Source organism: Homo sapiens, chromosome 16, assembly GCF_000001405.40.
Source record: "Homo sapiens chromosome 16, GRCh38.p14 Primary Assembly".
Classification (NCBI taxonomy): Eukaryota; Metazoa; Chordata; class Mammalia; order Primates; family Hominidae; genus Homo; species Homo sapiens.
In genome coordinates this window covers 5,192,836-5,212,413 of record NC_000016.10, presented here as the reverse complement: position 1 = coordinate 5,212,413, position 19,578 = coordinate 5,192,836, and the positions used below count along the sequence as shown (strand labels likewise).

The 19,578-nt window shown below is 47.2% G+C and overlaps 1 long non-coding RNA gene and 1 pseudogene across 1 annotated transcript in view; both read right to left on the bottom strand.

Annotated features, from left to right (window-relative positions):
* LOC105371067 (uncharacterized) overlaps nt 1–7,483 on the bottom strand; it is a 31,887-nt gene extending 24,404 nt beyond the window's left edge. The window contains exon 1 of the long non-coding RNA XR_001752067.2: nt 7,369–7,483. This is a non-coding gene — a long non-coding RNA (uncharacterized LOC105371067). The remainder of the gene's footprint in view (nt 1–7,368) is intronic.
* VPS51P1 (VPS51 pseudogene 1) lies at nt 4,975–5,326 on the bottom strand (annotated as a pseudogene).
* Nucleotides 7,484–19,578: the final 12,095 nt, after the last annotated feature.

The window sequence follows — 19,578 nt, the reverse complement described above, 5'->3', positions numbered from 1 at the left end:
GCATCTTTGCCCTGTGAATGGTCACCAGCCCTGCCCTGCAAGCCCCCAGGTGACATTGAACTTAAATGAGAGAGAAAACAGGTTTCGGGGTGGATTTCAGTTCAGCATCTTGGAGTCTCTGTGTGGACATGAAATCTGTCTCCCCAGCTGTGGGCTGCATCCCTCTTTGTCATCTGGTTTGGTTCTTGGGGACTTAGAAACTCGTGGGCACCTTTGCAATTTGTCAAGAAGCTGCACCGCCCTTCCAACAAAAGCAAGCAATAGGAACAGAACCCCAAGGCTTTAGATCAAGGTGCAACTTAAAGCAGCCTCAGGATAAAAGCAAACAGGAGTCAGAGGGATGCCTAAGGCAGAGTCTAGTCCCCAGGGCAGCTATAAGGCAAAGAGAAAGACAAACAGAGAGAGAAAGAGACAGAGAGAGATGGGAGGAGACATGAGGCACCCAGGCCTCTGCATCAAAATCCCTACAAGAGGGGCTTCCTAAAAATGCAGGAGGCTGAGGTGGGCGCATACAGAAGTTCAAGACTAGCCTGGGCAACACAGCAAGACCCTGTCTTCACAAAAAATACAAAAATTAGCCAAGTGTGGCAGTGTATGCCTGTGGTCCCAGCCACCCAGGAGGCTGAGGTGGGAGGATGGCTTGAGCCCAGGAGGTAGAGACTGCACTAAGCTGAGACAGTACCACTGCACTCCAGCCTGGGTGACGGAGTGAGACTTCATCTCAAAAAAATTTAAAAATTTTTTTAAAAAGGATCACCCTGGCTACTTGAATGGATGATAAGAAGGTAAGAGCAGAAGCAAGGAGACCAGCAGGGAGATTCTGCAGGTGGGAGTCCACAGTGGCTCAGACCAGGCTGGCGCTGAAGACCGGCTGGATTCTGTATGTATTTTAATGATGAAGCAACTCACTGACTCTTGAAGAGTGGGCTCTAGGAGACTGTATTTTTAACAAGCTCTCAGAGGATTCCAATGCAGGCTGAAGTTGAAGAACTACTGATTTAGGTGAAACTTCTGTTTCATCCTTGGGGAAGTACCTACTGACTTTTCTCCAAGCCACCTCAAAAGAGGCACTAGACAAGATGTGCTCCAGTGTCTGAACATGTGTGCACAGCTCTAGAGCAGACCTCAGGACACTGAGTCAAAGGTTAGGAGTACAACAGTGAACAACCACCGTCCTCTTTTCAATGAGCTTTGCATTTAATGAGAGAAATAAAAAGCAAAAAAAAAAATCATTTTCAACTCAGAATGGTAAAAGTTGTGGTGACAGCATGCCTGGGGCAATGGGAGCACATAGAAGGGGCACCCAATAGGCCAGGTGCAGTTGTTCATGCCTGTAATCCCACCACTTTGGGAGCCCGAGGTGGGTGGATCACTTGAGGCCAGGAGTTTGAAAACAGCCTGGTAAACATGGTGAAATCCTGTCTTTAATAAAAATACAAAAAAATTAGCCGCGTGTGGTGGCGGGCACCTGTAATTCCAGATTTTCGGAAGGCTGAGGTGGGAGAATTGCTTGAACCCGGGAGGTGGAGATTGCAGTGAGCCAAGATCGCACCACTGCACTCCAGCCTGGATGGCCAGAGCGAGACTCTGTCAAAAAAAAAAAAAAAAAAAAAAAAAAAAAAAAAAAAAAAAGCCAGGAGGTGGGTGGCCATCCAATCTATATCAGGTGGTCAGAAATCCTTCTCCATCACAGGACTCCTAAGTTGAAGACTAGAAAATGGTAGGAATTAGCCAGGTCGATAGGAGAGGTGTGGAAGATCATTCCCAGCAGAGGGAAGAGCATGTGCAAAAATCGAGACATGAGAGGGTGAGGAGCTGAGAGATGTTCATATAATTGTACAAAGTGACTAATGTAGAGGTAAGTTGGAGCCAAATTTTAAAGGCTCTTTGTCATGTTTATCCTGTAGACTAAGGGAGACAGTAGATGTTTTTAGGCAGGGGAGTAATGATCCACTTTGTGCTATAAAAAGAGCAGTCTGGCTGGAGGACAGTGGGAGGTGAGTAGACTAGGTAGGAGGCTGCAATACACCAAGTGAGAGAAGATGGTTGGCTGGACCAAGGCTGTGGCAGTGAGGATGGAGAGGAGACAGTAGACTAACTTGACTGAGAAAGAGGGAGGAATGCAGGATGAGGCCCAGGTGTTTTGGAAGCTGGGTGGATGGTGGTGTGTATCTGATGTGGTGAGCCCAGGCAGAAGAGGAAATCAGGAGAGGAAAGGTAACATGAGGTCAATGCAAGACAGACAGCCAAGTGGAGATAACCAGTGGGCAGTTGGATTCATCAGCCTGGAGTTATACAGAGAGGTCTGGAATGAAAATAAAGAGGAAAGGACTTTGGGAATAGGTGAATCCTCCCAGAATAATGTGTAGAGAAAGGAGAATAGAACACAGGGGACAGAAAAAGGGAAGAGATTTGTTATTAAAACCAACCATCCATCAGACATCTTCTAATAAAACACTTGTTAGAGGTTTCCTCAGTGTGAGTTATTCAGGACCAGAGCTAAAGACCATATTCCCAATAAAATCACTGCTGGGAAGGTCTTCATGAAAACATTTAATGCTGCTTTTAAAACAACAACAACAACAACAAAAAGGCTTTAGCTACTGCACAGACCCTGGAGCAATTTTTCGGCAAGAGTCTGTCAAACACGAATCTGATCTGACTCAAGGAGGTGTCATATCAAGTGTAAAAATCCAATTTCAATGTCCATAAGAGCCTTTCTGCCAGGTACAAGACCCTAATCCAGTTGAAGTGATTTTCTATTGATTAATAGGCTGGGAATACACAGGTTGTTGGTTTTTGAGATTTCCTTTCCTGTGCCTTCATGCCAGCTGTGAAAGAGTCAAAAGGCTCCTAACTGTCAAAATAAAAATGACACTTGGTCACAGAGGAAACAGATTATAGGTCAATCACCTTGATGACTTTTTAACTATGAGAAGCCATTAATGTTACTGAATAAGCAAATCTGTTTGCATAGCCAGATTTTTATAGGCTACTGGGGATAAAGGTTTTCCTAAGTGGGTGATTTGTACAACGATAGCCTTTGGGTCTCTGATGGAACAGCTCTGATAAGGAAATGTTCCTTTAATTATGTGCAAGGCCAATTACCACGTTATAGCCACATTGTTTTGCAGATTGCATATAATTTCACCATTTCATAGCTTCAGCACTATAATTCTGGAGAAAATTCAGGCACCAAGAAGACACTTGAGGCACATTATGCTGGAGATAAAGATGTTTTAGCGAATTCAATTTAAGCTACAACATTAAAGTTATTTTGTTGAATAAAACATAATGCAATAATGAGCTTGTGTATGTCAACTCTATAGTGGAGGTAATAATAGCTAGAGAGAGCATGTCCCCTCTCTTCTTTTTCATGCTCATTAGAGTAATAGATAATGCTATAGAGAGAACCTTTCTCTAATATGTGCTTCATCTCAGGCTAAGCGTGTTTTGTGCAACTGCACTTCAAGAAAAAAAAAAAAGGTAAAGGAACTAATTTGGGAGCCATTCACAAAAGTGCTACCACTTGATGTTATTTTATACTCTGAGATTTCTTATTCCCAGTGCCTACCAGGAATGGACTTTCTGGAGAAGCTCAGATTAATCACTCCTTATATACTTGGTACTGGGAGGTATGTATGGAGCAAGTGAAGAAATCAGCAGAGTGAAAACTGAGGGACAACAACACGATGGAGGAAAGGCAAAGTTACTGCCATGTTGCTTTCAATTCTGCCACTCATGAGTGAGACCCATGACCTCCTCTCTCTAGGACTCTGTTGTTCTTATCTGTAAAGTGGAGGAATAGAAGGGCCTTTTAAAGTATTAACATTTCCTGACCTATCTGTAAAACACTTTCATTCAAACTGATGGGAATCTTGACTACTTTGCCAAGAGGACATAATCATCATCAAGCTGAATGCAACAAACAACATTGCCTGAAACTATCTAAGCAAAAACTGAGAAAGTTACACAGGACAGACAAACCTCCTATAAGAGTAAGAACTCTTTAGCACATGCTCAGTGTGTCAAAGACAATGCTGTGTTCACACCATTCCTCTTCTTGGACATGCAGAAAGACTACATTTCCCAGCATCCCTTGCAGTTAGTTTAGAACCATGTGACTGCATTTCCACCAATAGGAATGTAAGAAATCACTTCAGGGCCAAGGTTATCAAAGGCAAGTGTGAGCTATGTTTCCTCTCTTCCCATCCACATGGCTACAAGTGAAAAACTCTGAGATGGCAGAATTAAATGATGGAAACCTCCAGGATCTGTGAATCACTGTTGGACAAGGGCCCCCAAGGAGAACACCTGCCCTGCACCAGACTATGCTATGGGTGTCAACCCACTGAGAGTTCAGGGTTTATTCGTCTCAGCAGCATTGTCTAGTGTTACACTGACTAACATCCTAAGGTTTGAGAGATCTAGCATATTGCTAATTGAAGCTAGATTCCAGTTACACTGAGAATCTTATCTATTTAAAAATAAAAACTCTTCTTAAAAAAACAAATAATCCACATTCCTTTTAACCACATGTGGCACATTTGCAAAAAACAACAACAACAACAACAACAACTGGCCACAGCCACATATTAGGCCATAAAGAAGTCTCAACAAAATCCACTATACGATTGACAATGTCCAGACCACATTTTCCTGACCATAATGCAACAAAATTAGAAGTCAACAGAAAGAAGATAGCTAAACACAAGCTATCTTTAATTTGGAAAATTAAAAATATCCTTTCATGAGTTAAAGGAAAAATCACAATAGAAATTACTAAATATTTACAACTGAACGAAAACAAAACTTTATATATATATATGTGTATATATATATACATATATATATATGTATATATATATTGTGTGTGTGTGTGAGTCTTCCAACTTTGTTCTTCTTTTACAAGGTTATTTGGGAAATTCTGGGTCTCCTGCAATTCCTCATACAATTTTATGCTGTTTGTCCATTTCTGTGGCTGAGATGAACTTGTTGTAGTTCTCATAGACCAGGGTCTGCATATCGCTGTCTAGAGCCCGGATCTGCCGCACCATGTCTGTCTCACTGTCCTCAGCTGGGCCAGAGGGCACTCTCGACGCAGCTTGCCTAGGTAAACTTCCGGGTCGAAGTGCACCCCGTTCAGATCAGTCGTGTCCAGGGGTTCGGGCCCCGCGGGGCGTCCCGCCGCCTCCCCTTCCGAGAAGCCATAGTAAAGCATCCCGTGTGCCTTCCGCCGACGCTCCGGAGCCTCCCCCTCGGGCCCTTCTGGGGAGTCCCCAGGTCCAGACCCCGGGCTATGTCCAGCAGCAGCTGCCGCCGCCATAGCTCCAACTGCAGCCCACGGGTGTAACTTTTTATATTTTTAAGTTGGATACATCAAGCTACTTGGCTTTTGCTTTCATCACATCATTGAGGAAAGCGGTGGTTGCTTATGGTACCCCTGTTTTTACTGCAACCTGTAATGGATGAGAATCTCCCTGTTGCAAAGAGCAAAACACTGAACTAAATTGTGCTGCAACACAGCCCTGTGTTGGGGGACTGGGAGTGATCATGCAAACAGCTGCAAATTTGCACACTGACAGAGGCAATTGTTTGGGCAGCTGTTCACTATATGAAAAGTCAATTGACCAAAAGTCAGTTACTGAGCTATCTCAATACTTTCATTTTATTTTAACTTTTGGCAGCAGGTTGCAATTAGAGGTGAGAAAGGAAACAAAGTGGTAAGTATAAGATAATGTACACACATGTGTAAAAGAAAATGACAAGACCGAATGACTATTTGTCTTTTTGTTAGCTCCTTGGGCTCTATGTCTCCCTCCTCAGAGAACCTCGTTTTCCTTTGTCCAGATTTGTTAGGGCGGATAATCCAGGCATCTGCTACCCCATGATGGAAGCCAAAGATGTCCCTGGAGACGCCTCCCACTGCATCCTTTCCTGCATTGCCCAAATGGTCACAACTCAGCCAAGTAGACTCCCTCTCAGAACTTTGGTCTTGAGCAAAGGGATTCAAGGGTGAAGTGACTGAAGGTCTGTCCTTCTAAAGTGGTAGGTGAGCTAATGGCTGAAGTTTACCAAGCCCTTCGAAGCACTTTTTTCTTAATTTTTATTTATTTGTTTATTTGAGACAAAGTCTCGCTCTGTCGCCCAGGCTGGAGTGCAGTGGTGCGATCTCGGTTCACTGCAACCTCTGCCTCCTAGGTTCAAGGGAGTCTCCTGCCTCATCCTCCCCAGTAGCTGGGATTACAGGCACGTGCCACCACTCCTGGCTAATTTTTTTTTGTATTTTTAGTAGAGACAGGTTTTTACCATGTTGGCCAGGCTGGTCTCAAACTCCTGGCCTCAAGGAATCCACCTGCCTCGGCCTCCCAAAGTGCTGAAATTATACATGTGAGCCACCACGCCCAGCCCCAAGTACTTTTTATATACCAACTCATTTAAACTTCACAGTAATACTGAGATGAGTAATATCATCACCATTTTACAGATCAGAAAACTGAGGCAGAAAGCTGTTAAATAGCCTGCCCCATGTAGTAGAGTGAAAGACATGAACCCAGGCTGACTCCTGCACCTAACCTCTACACTGCACTTGTCAAGGTCCTCTGAAACTACCTGACTCCTGTCTGCTGCAAGCCTTGTTCTTCAGGAGGACCTTATTTCTGCCAGTTCCCCAACAGCCTTCCAATAAAGTCCCTTTTTCTTCAAATATGCAAGTAGTTTTCTACTGTCTACGTCCAAAGAACTTTCAATGATATATTAAGGGAACATCAAACTGGGTATACTTGTAAATTTAGGCTTGAAAGTGTAATTTGAAAGTGGAAGTAGAGACTTAGAGCTCGCCAACTGCTATGGGTTTGTATGCGTATTAGGGTGATATGGGTTGGCTGTGTCCCTGCCAGAATCTCAATTTGTAGCTCTCACAATTCCCAAGTGTCATGGGAAGGACTCAGCAAGAGGTAACTGGATCATGGGGCGGGTCTTTCCCATGCTGTTCTCATGATAGTGAATAAATCTCACAAGGTCTGGCAGATTTATAAAGAGGAGGTCCTTTGCACAATTTCTCTCTTACCCACCACCATGTAAGAAGTCCCTTTGCTCTTCCTTCATCTTCTGCCATGACGGTGAGGCCTCCCTAGGCATGTGGAACCAAGCGGCATCCTGAAAATGCCACTAAGCCTCTTTTTCTTTATAAAGTACCCAGTTTCCGGTATGTCTTTATTAGCAGTGTGGAAACAGACTAATAAATAGGGTGAATAACAAAAACAAGATGCTGTAAAAAATGACCCCAAAATTTCAGAGGCCTAACTTAATCGAGATCTGTTGATTGCTGATGTCATGGGTGGTATGCATGGGGGAGGGGCAGGGTACCTCTGCTCTGCTCCATGCAGTCATTTAGGGATCGATGCTTCTTCCCAGACAGAACTTCACTGTCTTCAGCACGTGGCTTCTGAGGCTGGTAGGGAAGAATAAAGTGCACAGGATCCTGCAGGAGAGATTTTTTTATGGTCAAGTATAAAGATAGGCATTTATTGCTTCTCACTCATATTCCTCTAGCCAAAATGTAATCCCATGGCCCCAGACTGAACACAAGGGGACTGGGATGTATAATCTAGCAGAGTGCCCAGGAGCAAAATGAAACAGATTTGGAACACACGACCTCTTCCCACTACGGCAAGAAAATGTATTCAGTGTTCACCATATGCCCAACACAATGTTAGGCACCATGCAGGAACTTTAAACAAATCTCTATGTAAATTTATGATTTACTTGAAAAGACAGAATACATATTTCTGAAACACATGAGAATTACCCTAAACCAACAGAACATCCAAAATCATCTAGAAGAATAACAGAAGAAATTTCAATGAAACAAGAGATAACCTTTTCATATATTAAATTTTAAAATATGTTTAAATGCTAATATAAAATTTCTCCCCAGGGTGAGGTGAAGCCGATATACTCATACATGGCTTATGATGACGTAAAACATTGCAGCTCTTACAGAAGGCCATCCTGGGCCACGTGCAGTGGTTCATGCCTGTAATCCCAGCACTCTGGGGGACCGAGGCAGGCAGATCACTTGAGGTCAGAAGTTTGAGACCAGCCTGGCCAACATGGTGAAACCCCATCTCTACTAAAAATACCAAAATTATCCGGGCATGGTGGTGGGTGCCTGTCATTCCAGCTACTCAGGAGGCTGAGGCACAAGAATCGCTTGAACCCAGGAAGCAGAGGTTGCAGTGAGTGGAGATCACACAACTGCACTCCAGCCTCAGTGACTGAGGGAGACTGTTTCAGTGGCTCACACCTGTAATCCCAGCACTTTGGGAGGCCGAGGCGGTGGATCACGTGGTCAGGAGATCAAGACCATCCTGGCTCACACGGTGAAACCCCATCTCTACTAAAACTACAAAAAAAATCTGGGCATGGTGGCAGGCACCTGTAGTCCCAGCTATTCGAGAGGCTGAGGCACGAGAATGGCATGAACCTGGGAGGCGGAGCTTGCACTGAGCCAAGATCACACCACTGGACTCCAGCCTGGGCAACAGAGCGAGACTCCGTCTCTAAAAAAAAAAAAAATAGCTCTCGCTCTCCTCTCCCTCTCCCTCTCCCTCTCCCTCTCCCTCTCCCTCTCCCTCTCCCCCTCCCCCTCCCCCTCCCCCTCCCTCTCCCTCTCCCTCCACGGTCTCCTTCTGATGCCGAGCCGAAGCTGGACGGTACTGCTGCCATCTCGGCTCGCTGCAACCTCCCTGCCTGATTCTCCTGCCTCAGCCTGCCGAGTGCTTGCGCACGCCGCCACGCCTGACTGGTTTTCGTTTTTTTTTTTGGTGGAGACGGGGTTTTGCTGTGTTGGCCGGGCTGGTTTCCAGCTCCTAACCGCGAGTGATCCGCCAGCCTCGCCCTCCCGAGGTGCCGGGATTGCAGACGGAGTCTCGTTCACTCACTGCTCAATGGTGCCCAGGCTGGAGTGCAGTGGCGTGATCTCGGCTCGCTACAACCTCCACCTCCCAGCCGCCTGCCTTGGCCCCCCAAAGTGCCGAGATTGCAGCCTCTGCCCAGCCGCCACCCTGTCTGGGAAGTGAGGAGCGTCTCTGCCTGGCCCCCCATCGTCTGGGATATGAGGAGCCTCTCTGCCTGGCTGCCCAGTCTGGAAAGTGAGGAGCGTCTCTGCCCGGCCGCCATCCCATCTAGGAAGGGAGGAGCGTCTCTGCCCGGCCGCCCATCGTCTGAGATGTGGGGAGCACCTCTGCCCCGCCACCCAGTCTGGGATGTGAGGAGCGCCTCTGCTGGGCCGCAACCCTGTCTGGGAGGTGAGGAGCGTCTCTGCCCGGCCGCCCCGTCTGAGAAGTGAGGAAACCCTCTGCCTGGCAACCGCCCCGTCTGAGAAGTGAGGAGCCCCTCCGTCCGGCAGCCACCCCGTCTGGGAAGTGAGGAGCGTCTCCGCCCGGCAGCCACCCCGTCCGGGAGGGAGGTGGGGGGGGCGGTCAGCACCCCGCCCGGCCAGCCGCCCCGTCCGGGAGGTGAGGGGCGCCTCTGCCCGGCCGCCCCTACTGGGAAGTGAGGACCCCTCTGCCCGGCCAGCCGCCCCGTCCGGGAGGGAGGTGGGGGGGGTCAGCCCCCCGCCCGGCCAGCCGCCCAGTCCGGGAGGGAGGTGGGGGGATCAGCCCCCCGCCCGGCCAGCCGCCCCGTCCGGGAGGGAGGTGGGGGGGTCAGCCCCCCGCCCGGCCAGCCGCCCCGTCCGGGAGGGAGGTGGGGGGGTCAGCCCCCCGCCCGGCCAGCCGCCCCGTCCGGGAGGGAGGTGGGGGGGTCAGCCCCCAGCCCGGCCAGCCGCCCCGTCCGGGAGGGAGGTGGGAGGGGTCAGCCCCCCGCCCGGCCAGCCGCCCCGTCCGGGAGGGAGGTGGGGGGATCAGCCCCCCGCCTGGCCAGCCGCCCCGTCCGGGAGGTGAGGGGCGCCTCTGCCCGGCCGCCCCTACTGGGAAGTGAGGACCCCTCTGCCCGGCCAGCCGCCCCGTCCGGGAGGGAGGTGGGGGGGTCAGCCCCCCGCCCGGCCAGCCGCCCTATCCAGGAGGTGAGGGGCGCCTCTGCCCGGCCGCCCCTACTGGGAAGTGAGGAGCCCCTCTGCCCGGCCACGACCCCGTCTGGGAGGTGTGCCCAGCGGCTCATTGGGGATGGGCCATGATGACAATGGCGGTTTTGTGGAATAGAAAGGCGGGAAGGGTGGGGAAAAAATTGAGAAATCGGATGGTTGCCGGGTCTGTGTGGATAGAAGTAGACATGGGAGACTTTTCATTTTGTTCTGTACTAAGAAAAATTCTTCTGCCTTGGGATCCTGTTGATCTGTGACCTTATCCCCAACCCTGTGCTCTCTGAAACATGTGCTGTGTCCACTCAGGGTTCAATGGATTAAGGGCGGTGCAAGATGTGCTTTGTTAAACAGATGCTTGAAGGCAGCATGCTCGTTAAGAGTCATCACCACTCCCTAATCTTAAGTACCCAGGGACACAAACACTGCGGAAGGCCGCAGGGTCCTCTGCCTAGGAAAACCAGAGACCTTTGTTCACTTGTTTATCTGCTGACCTTCCCTCCACTATTGTCCTATGACCCTGCCAAATCCCCCTCTGCGAGAAACACCCAAGAATGATCAATAAAAAAAAAAAAAAAAAAAAAGAAATAATAAATAAATAGATTAAGAAGTCAAAAAAAAAAATACTACTACTACTACTAATAATAATAATTTTGGTTAAAAAGTATTGAGAAATTTTTCATTACTAATTAATTGTTCTCACATTGATCCTTGAAAATTGTTGTGATGCCCTGAATTTTAGTTTCTTTTCTAGAATTTTTATCATTAAAATTTCTGCAAGATAATAGCAAAGAAAATCTGTAGAGTAGATTTTCTAAAAAAATTATATGTATCAGTTTTTGTAGATGACAAGTGTTTCCTCAATTTATATAATACGTCACAGCTCAGTTCTAAATTACATTTCACAGACCAAGTTTTAAACTTGGCCTCCATAAAAGTAGGCAGTTAAAAAAAATTACCTTCATGTTACTTGCTGGACCTGGTAAGTAAAGACATTTATTACTGCATTATTTAAAATAGCAAAACATGGAAGCAATTTATATGTCCAACTATAGGGGAATGGTTGAATAAATGATGGCACATTCATTAAGTTAAACCTAATGCAGTTATGAAAAGTCATAAGTATGAAAGCCAGGGAGAATATGAAAAAAAAGGATAATGCGAAGCAAAAAGAACTGAGAATTATGAGTAGACTTGGACAGTGATTACATCAGATAAACAACAACAAAATTATTTGCAGTGAGATGGAAAGTCTCAATATCTTTCAAATATCTTTAATGGTTTCACATTACTTTTATTTTGTTTTACTTTGAGGTGGAGTCTTGCTCTGTCACCCAGGCTGGAGCGCAGTGGTATGATCTCAGCTCACTGCAACCTCTGCCTCCTGGGTTCAAGCAATGCTCATGCCTCAGTCTCCCGAGTAGCTGGGACTACAGGCACGTGCCACCATGCCAGCTAATTTTTTGTATTTTTAGTACAGATGGGGTTTCACCATGTTAGCCAGGCTGGTCTCAAACTTCTGACTTCAGGTGATTCACCCACCTCAGCCTCCCAAAGTGCTGGGATTACAGGCATGAGCCACCACACTGGTGTCATATTACCTTTAAATAATTTTTTTAGGATACAAGATGACATTGTTTTAATATATAAGTAAAGGAATCACCAGGATGCACTGGGCCTGTCCCTATGAGCACCAAGTTGATATGCACACACCCAAGTGTGAGGCACCTGCTATACACACTGTGTATGTACGTGTGCGTAAAACCTTGAGGAAAATGCCATTTGCCCCATCCATTTTTCCAAAGACGGTTCAAAGACAGTATTTATCACTAAATTCCTCCAAAACCTTAAAACCACATGTGTGCATTTGCACTTGTGAGTCACTGAAATCCACTTTGAGATCATTAGCAACAATGGACAGGGTGGCCCAGCCTGTCATGGCATGGGGACAGGTAGGGATGCTACAGTTGGAAATGGACTGACTCATACTCAGGCTGTCACAGCCTGGTCTCAGCCTGTAGGGCTCATGCTGAGAATGGTACAGGCAGGGGAGCCAGGGACTAGTGTCCAGATGAGACATCAGGCTCCATCACCCATTGGCTGAGTCACCCAGGCAGCAGAGCTCACCTGTCTGCTGGGCCTGTTTCTCTGTCTGCACAGCAAGCATCACAGTCACTATAGTCAAAATGTGTCCTCTAGAATTCATGTGTCAGAAACAATCCCCAATGCAACCATGTTAGGAGGTGGGGCCGAATGGGAGGTGTTGAGGTTGTGAGGGCCTTACCCTCGTGAATGGATTAATGCCATTATAAAAAAGGGCTTGCAGAAGTCGGTTCACTCTCAGATGCTCTTGTCCTCATGTCTTCCGTCATGTGATGATGCAGCAAGAAGGCCCTTGCCAGACACTAGTGCCTCAATCTTGGGCTTCCCAGTTTCCAGAAAAATTTCTGTTTGTTGTATATCACCCAGTCTCAGGTCTTCTGTTACAGCAGCAAAAAAGGGACTAAGACAACAGTCTGCCTATGGACTCCTTGAGAATTAAAGGGAATGCAGGAGGCCCACCTATCCTTGGATCGGGTCCATATGTTCTCAACAAATGGCAATTTCTACTCTGATGGTCTGGAAGGGTGTGACGAGTGGGTTGTTTTTCTTTTTCAAGTGTTCTGTGGTGCTTGTATAGAGCTTGTCATGAAAATTTATAAGGCACAAGTCACCCATTTATCGCACTCTGTGACCTTGGTTAAATTCTGTATCCTCTCTCTGCCTCAATGTTTTCATCTGTAGAATGGGAATGCTGGTGCATGCCCGTGGTGCACAGGTTTGTTGTAAGGCTAAATGAGCTAACTCATGTAGGCATCTAGCACAGAGTCTGGCTCATTCTAAGTACAAAATAAATGCTGCTAACTGTTGGTTTTTGCTAGGGTGTGACTTACAGGATAAGAATAATCAACCTCTGTTCATTTCTATTCAGATGAATTGGCCCTCAGAAGCTGGCTTTCTACAAGGTCCAGCTGGGTCAGGAAAAACAATAACAAGAGCAGCTAAACGCATTGAGTTCCTCTGAAATGTCAGGCACTCCTATGAGTACACAGTGGTTCCCTGCTCAAAGGATGGGGGAACAGAGGATCGGCCTTTGCCCAGCTCTGGCTGAGAGCTCTTGGATGAAGAATAACTGATGCAGAGACATCTCAGCCCTTTGCCCTGACCAGTGCCAAGAGGCCCATTGCCGATGAGAGGGTGACACCTATGACCCGGTTCACAGATCCAGAGCCAGTGAGGAGCTCTTGGAGATCAGGTGAAAGCTAAGCAGAGGCAAGCAGGTCTTGGGGTGATTTTCACTGCAGGTCATAGAAACTGGCTGAAGGTAGCTCATGCCAGCTGAAAAGGATGTTTACTGGATAAACATCAGAGTGTCTCATGAAATCTAAGAATGACAGTAGGGTAACCAACCATCCCAGCTTGCCCAGGACCTTCTCTGTTTTATTCTTGCATTTTAGGAAGCCCCTCAGTCCCAGGCAGACTGAAGCTGTTGGCAGCCCTGGAATCAGGTGCCACAGAGGTGGGACCCCTGTGGGATTCTCGCCACGTCTCTCCTCCCTGCTTCCCTTTGCATGCCTCTTCCCTCTTGCCCCAAGCACCCACCCTTCCCAGCCTCCTCTCACATGCGGTGCAAGGTGGCAGCCCCAGGCTTTGAGCCTTTCCCTTTCCCGCAGGCACTGCCAAGACAGGCTGAGAATCTCTCACCCCTAACACCAGATTTCCAGAGGAGGGAAGCTGATCAGCCAAGCCAGGCCAGATATCCACCCAGATCTTCATCTGCTGTGGCCAAGAGGAGGACCCTATGGTTGGGAACTGGAGCCCCTATTACCTGCTGAACACTGCTCCAGAACATAAGAAATGCTACAAAAAAATGAAACAGAATAAATGGTGTCATAAATTGAATGTTTGTATCCCCATTCCATTTTTTTTTTTTTTGAGATGGAGTCTTGCTCTGTCCCCCAGGTTACAGTGCAGTGGCGTGATAGTGGCTCACTGCAAGCTCCACCTCCCGGGTTTGCACCATTCTCCTGCCTTCAGCCTCCCGATTAGCTAGGACTACAGGCGCCCGCCACCTTGCCTGGCTAATTTTTTGTATATTTAGTAAAGACAGGGTTTCACCGTGTTACCCAGGATGGTCTCGATCTCCTGACCACGTGATCCGCCCGCCTCGGCCTCCCAAAGTGCTAGGACTACAGGCATGAGCCACTGTGCCCGGCCCCCACTCCAATTTTATATGTTGAAATCCTAACCCCAAGGGGATGGTATCAGGAGGTGGAGCCTTTGCAAGGTGATTAGGTCATGAGGGTGGGACCCTCATGAATGGGATTAGTGCACTTGTCAAAGGGACTTGAGAAAGCTGCCTTACCCCTTTCACTACATGAGGGCATGCTGAGAAGGCACCATCTGTGAACCAGGAAGCCAGCCCTCACCAGATACCAAATCAGCTGGTGCCTCGATATTCGAATTTCCAGCCTCTAGAACCATCAGCAATAATCTGTTGTTTCAGCCAGTCAGTGTACGGCATTTTTGTCATAGCAGCCTAAACTGACTAAGACAGAGAGATACAGAAAGATGGGATGGGACAGTCAAGGACAGCCTTCCCGAGGAGGCATATGTTAGTTTCCTATGGCTGCTGTGACAGTTATCATAAACTGGGTGGCTTAAACAATGTACATTTACTTCCTTGTAGTTCTGTAGGCCAGGAATCCAAGATGGGCTAAAATCAAGGTGTTGGCAGGACTCTTTTTCTTCCAAAAGCTCTGGGGGAGAAGCCCTTTCCTTGCCTTTTCCATCTCTTAGAGACCCCCCACATTCCTTGGCTCATGGTCCCTTCCTCCACCTTCAAGCCAGCAGTCATGGGTTGAGTCTTTCTCACATTGCATTTCTCTGATTCTGACTCTTCTGTCTCCCCCTTCCATCTTTTGAAGGTCCTGTGATTACACTGGGCCCACCAGAATAACACTATTTCAAAGTCAGCGGATTAGCAACCTTAATCCATGCACAATATGAATTCTCCTTTGCCAAGCACCATAACATAGCCACGGGTTCCAGAGATTAGGATATGGACATCGTCAGGGGAGAAGGGCATTACGCCACCTACTACAAGGTAATACTTGAACAGAGGCCCTGGGACAAGCCTGCACTGTGAAGGCTGAGTTCAAATACACCTGCCACAGTCCATCTGTGCAAGGGGCAGGGAGGGGAGAGAGAGCACAGAGAACACGGATCATTCTGAGCAGGACGGGCTTCTCCAGAGGTGTCTCCATACAGCTCCATATAGCTTCTTGGCTATGACGGGAGGTGAAATTAACATCTGCCTCTACAGCAAACAGCACATGTCTTACCATATGCCAAGAGGCAAAGCATGAACTCCTTCTGGGGTCCAGTGTCCCAGATGTGGTTCCTAACTCCAGACCCTTCCTAGAAGCCACTGTCAGAGGGTTAACCCTGTGCGGCACTCATGCCCTGAGACAGAGGTGTGCAGGAAGGAGCTGTGGGCAGTGGTTCTCCAAGGGGGGAGGTAAGGAAATAGGGAGATGTGATGGAGAGCAGTGGTTTAGCTGTATCTGTGATGATGTTTCTTAAGAAACCCAAAAAGGTCTGAAGCAAATACTGCACAATTATGTTGCTAATTGGGAGGGTGGGGTCTTTTCTTATTTTCTGCTCATTTTAAAAAATTTTTTAAGAGATGGGGTCTTGCTTTGTTGCCTAGGCTGGTCCTGAACTCCAGGCCTCAGGGGATCCTCCTGCCTTCACCTCTCAAAGTGCTGGGATAATAGGCATGAGCCATCACACCCAGCCAATCCTTTTCTATATGTTTGAAATATTGCACAGTCAAAAAGAAACTAATAAATTACAAGGGAAACAAACTTACAGAAACATCTAAACCTCCTTCAAGGCAACATCCGGTCTGACTTTGACATTACTGAAAAGCTAAAAGCTCACCCCACTGGGAACGCAGCTGAAAACTAGATTCAGAACTCCTCAAAGAAGAGGCTCCCAGGGAGATACCTTATGCGGCTCCACTTATCCTGCTGCAGGTACACCCAGTCCCCAGGGCTCCCACATCTGGCCAAGAGTTAAATTCTAGAAGAGAGGTGAAGTCTGGAGTATCTGGTTTGACATGTGTTTTTAAATTCCGTGGCTGACGCTACAACCAAAGGTTCTGCTCATGTGAAGCACAAAGGGGAGATGAAATGTAGACCCAGAAGGATGACAGCAGCTTCATTGTGCCCCATTGCAGGATGCCAGGCAAACCCAGCTGCCCTGGAATAACGGCACCCTGAGGGAGGCTCTCTGCACCCCTCCACCCACCCTTGTTTCATCCTGGGTTGGAGGGAGCATGGCTGCAGCCCCTATCCCTGTATCAACCCTGGAAAATAACAGAGCCAACCTCTGATCCTTCTTGGACAGCAGAAAAGCTCAAGAACCTTCCCCTCTCACATCTGAAACTCCAAAGTTCATCACAGATTTCAATGTGAATTGGGAATCTTTCAAGGCAGGTATTATCATTCTAGCCTTAAAACTAGTCGTTAGCTTACTCAAGAAATGGTTATTAAGCACCTACCATGTGTTGGGTATGGCTTCATGCACTAAGAATACAGCAGTGAGCCAAAAAGACAAAAATCACAGGTCTCATGGAGCCTGTGGTATAGTTGGAGACAGATGACAAACAAGGAAAACAAGTCAATATATTAACACACGTCAGCCAGGCACAGTGGCCACCTAACACTTTGGGAGGCCAAGACAGGAGGATTGAGTCCCAGGAGTTTGAGACCAGCCTGGGCAACATAGTGAAAACCTATCTTTACAAAAAATTAGCCAGATGTGGTGGCACGCACCTATAATCCGAGCCACTTGGGAGACTGAGAAGGGAGGATCACCTGAGCCCAGGAGGTCAAGGTTACAGTGAGCTATGACCGCAACACTGCGCTTCAATGATAGAATAAGACCTGTCCCAAAAATATATATATACACACATATATTTTAATCTATATATTTAAATCTATTTTTAAATACATAAACATATTAACATATCATTATGTAATGTGTTACTATATAGTTACAGCTAATTAATATATAGTAATGTGTATATACACATATATAACTATACATTAACACATTACATATATATGTTAATTAGTTTGTTATTAGTTATAAGTGCTAAGCGGGGAAAGTAAAGCAAGGAAGGAGAACAGGGGGGCGAGGGGTGGTTTGCAGTCCCAGCTGGGTGGACACTGAAGAAGACCAGACTGGGTGCAGTGGCTCATGCCTGTAATCCCAGCACTTTGAGGGGCAGAAGTAGGAGGACCCCCTGAAGCCAGGCATTCCAGATCAGCCTAGGCAATATAGCAAGACTGTCTCAACAAAACAAAAGGAAAATAAAATAAATAAGTTGAGCATGGCGGCACTCGCTTATAGTCCCAGCAAGTCAGGAGACCAAGATGGGAGGATTGCTTGAGCTTAGGCGTTTGAGGCTGCAGTGAGCTATGATTGTGCCACTGCACTCCAGCCTGGGCAACAGAGTGAGACGTTATCTCAGAAAAAAAAAAAAAAAGAGTGAGACGGGAGCCACTGGTGGCGTCTGAGCACCTGAGTGACATACCCTGACTGCTGCATGAAGAGGAAGCACAGAAACAGGACGCCAGCCAGAGGTGGCTCAATAACCCCTTAGGGTGCAAACAACAGCTAGGATGGGGGCTGAAGGGGGTTAGAATTTTTAGAGTGATTTTTACGTTTTTGCTTTGTCCCTTCACATCCCTGTGCCTCCTTTTTCTCCATGTTGAAATGGAGCATAACATGAGCCACCCCTGGGTGATGGTCTGTGCACACAGCTGCCCACTTCCCTAGGATGTGTTGTTAGATTCCATGACTTACAAAGCAGGTGAGACTCTAACAGGAGGAGCTAAGTCTGGTGACCTTGAAGAGGAGGGCAGCTTATCTTTCCAGGTGATACTGTCATCAATGCTGCATCCTCAGATTCAATAACAGAGAATAAATCCTTTGTCAAGATATGAGTGGTGAAAAAACCACCACCTCCCCCAGAGAGCCCGTCTTCCAAGAAAGCCCATCCATACTCAGATCCTTTTTTATTACTCTTGGAAAGGTGGTGTGAAAATTTGATAAGGCAAGATATCAAAGTTCTGGCGTGTCACAGAGAGCGCTCTCGCTTGCTGATAACGTGCAGATACGGCAAGTCGAAAAGTACTTTTTTATTGCTTTGGGGCTCTCGATTCGTACCAGAGTTCCACAGCTGCTGGCTGAGTCAGCCGGTTCCTAACCATTCAACCTTTCAGAACATCATCTCCGCAAACCTGCAGTGCAGTGCTAATTTCTGAGATTATCCTCTGGGTAAAAAGGAACTGTCTCCTGGTGGCAGGGTGGGGTGGGTCACTACCTCCACAAAAAAGCAAAGAATGGTGGCAAATAGCAGGTGCTCAGGCTCTCCCAAGTGCAGGGTCGCTGTCCCAAGGGAACACAAGTGTTCCAAATGCAACACCCTGGAAAGGATTCTCCTCTTCATTCACTCCTGCCACAAGAATCTCATTCACAGATGCTGCTATGTTTAAAATGTTTAAGTCTCTCCCTTGGAATAAAGGATGTCTGAGTTTTCTTCCTCAAGAGCCAAGGTACTGCTACTGCAAAGAGCCCATGGAGACGTAGATGAAACCCAATACCCATGAGTTGGTTGTTGTCCTTACTGGAGCTGAATGATATGTACACAGCATGCATTGAACGAGTCTCTCTGCTTTTCATATATTCGAAATTTTCTATAATTAAAAAAATATTTAGGCTGGGCGCGGTGGCTCATGCCTGTAATCATAGCACTTTGGGAGGCCAAGGCGGGTGGATCACCTGAGGTCAGCAGTTCGAGACCAGCCTGGCCAATGTGGTGAAACCCCATCTCTACTAAAAATACAAAAATTAGCTAGGTGTGGTGGTGCATTCCTGTAGTCCCAGCTACGTGGAAGGCTGAGGCAGGAGAATCACTTGAACCCGGGAGGCGGAGGTTGCAGTGAGCCGAGATCATGCCACTGCACTCCAGCTTGGGTGACAGAGCGAGACTCCATCTCAAAAAATATATATATATATAAAAAACCACCCTCAGAGCAAGTTGGCAATAGCTAATAAAATGATAAGTGTCAGGCCTCTGAGCCCAAGCTAAACCATCATATCCTCTGTGACCTGCACATATATACATTCAGATGGCCTGAAGCAACTGAAGATCCACAAAAGAAGTGAAAATAGCCTTAACTGATGACATTCCACCACTGTGATTTGTTTCTTCCCCACCCTAACTGATCAATGTACTTTGTAATCTCCCCCACCCTTAAGAAGGTTCTTTGTAATCTCCCCTACCCTTAAGAAGGTTCTTCGTAATTCTCCCCACCCTTGAGAAAGTACTTTGTGAGATCCACCCACTGCCCGCAAAACATTGCTCCTAACTCCCCTGC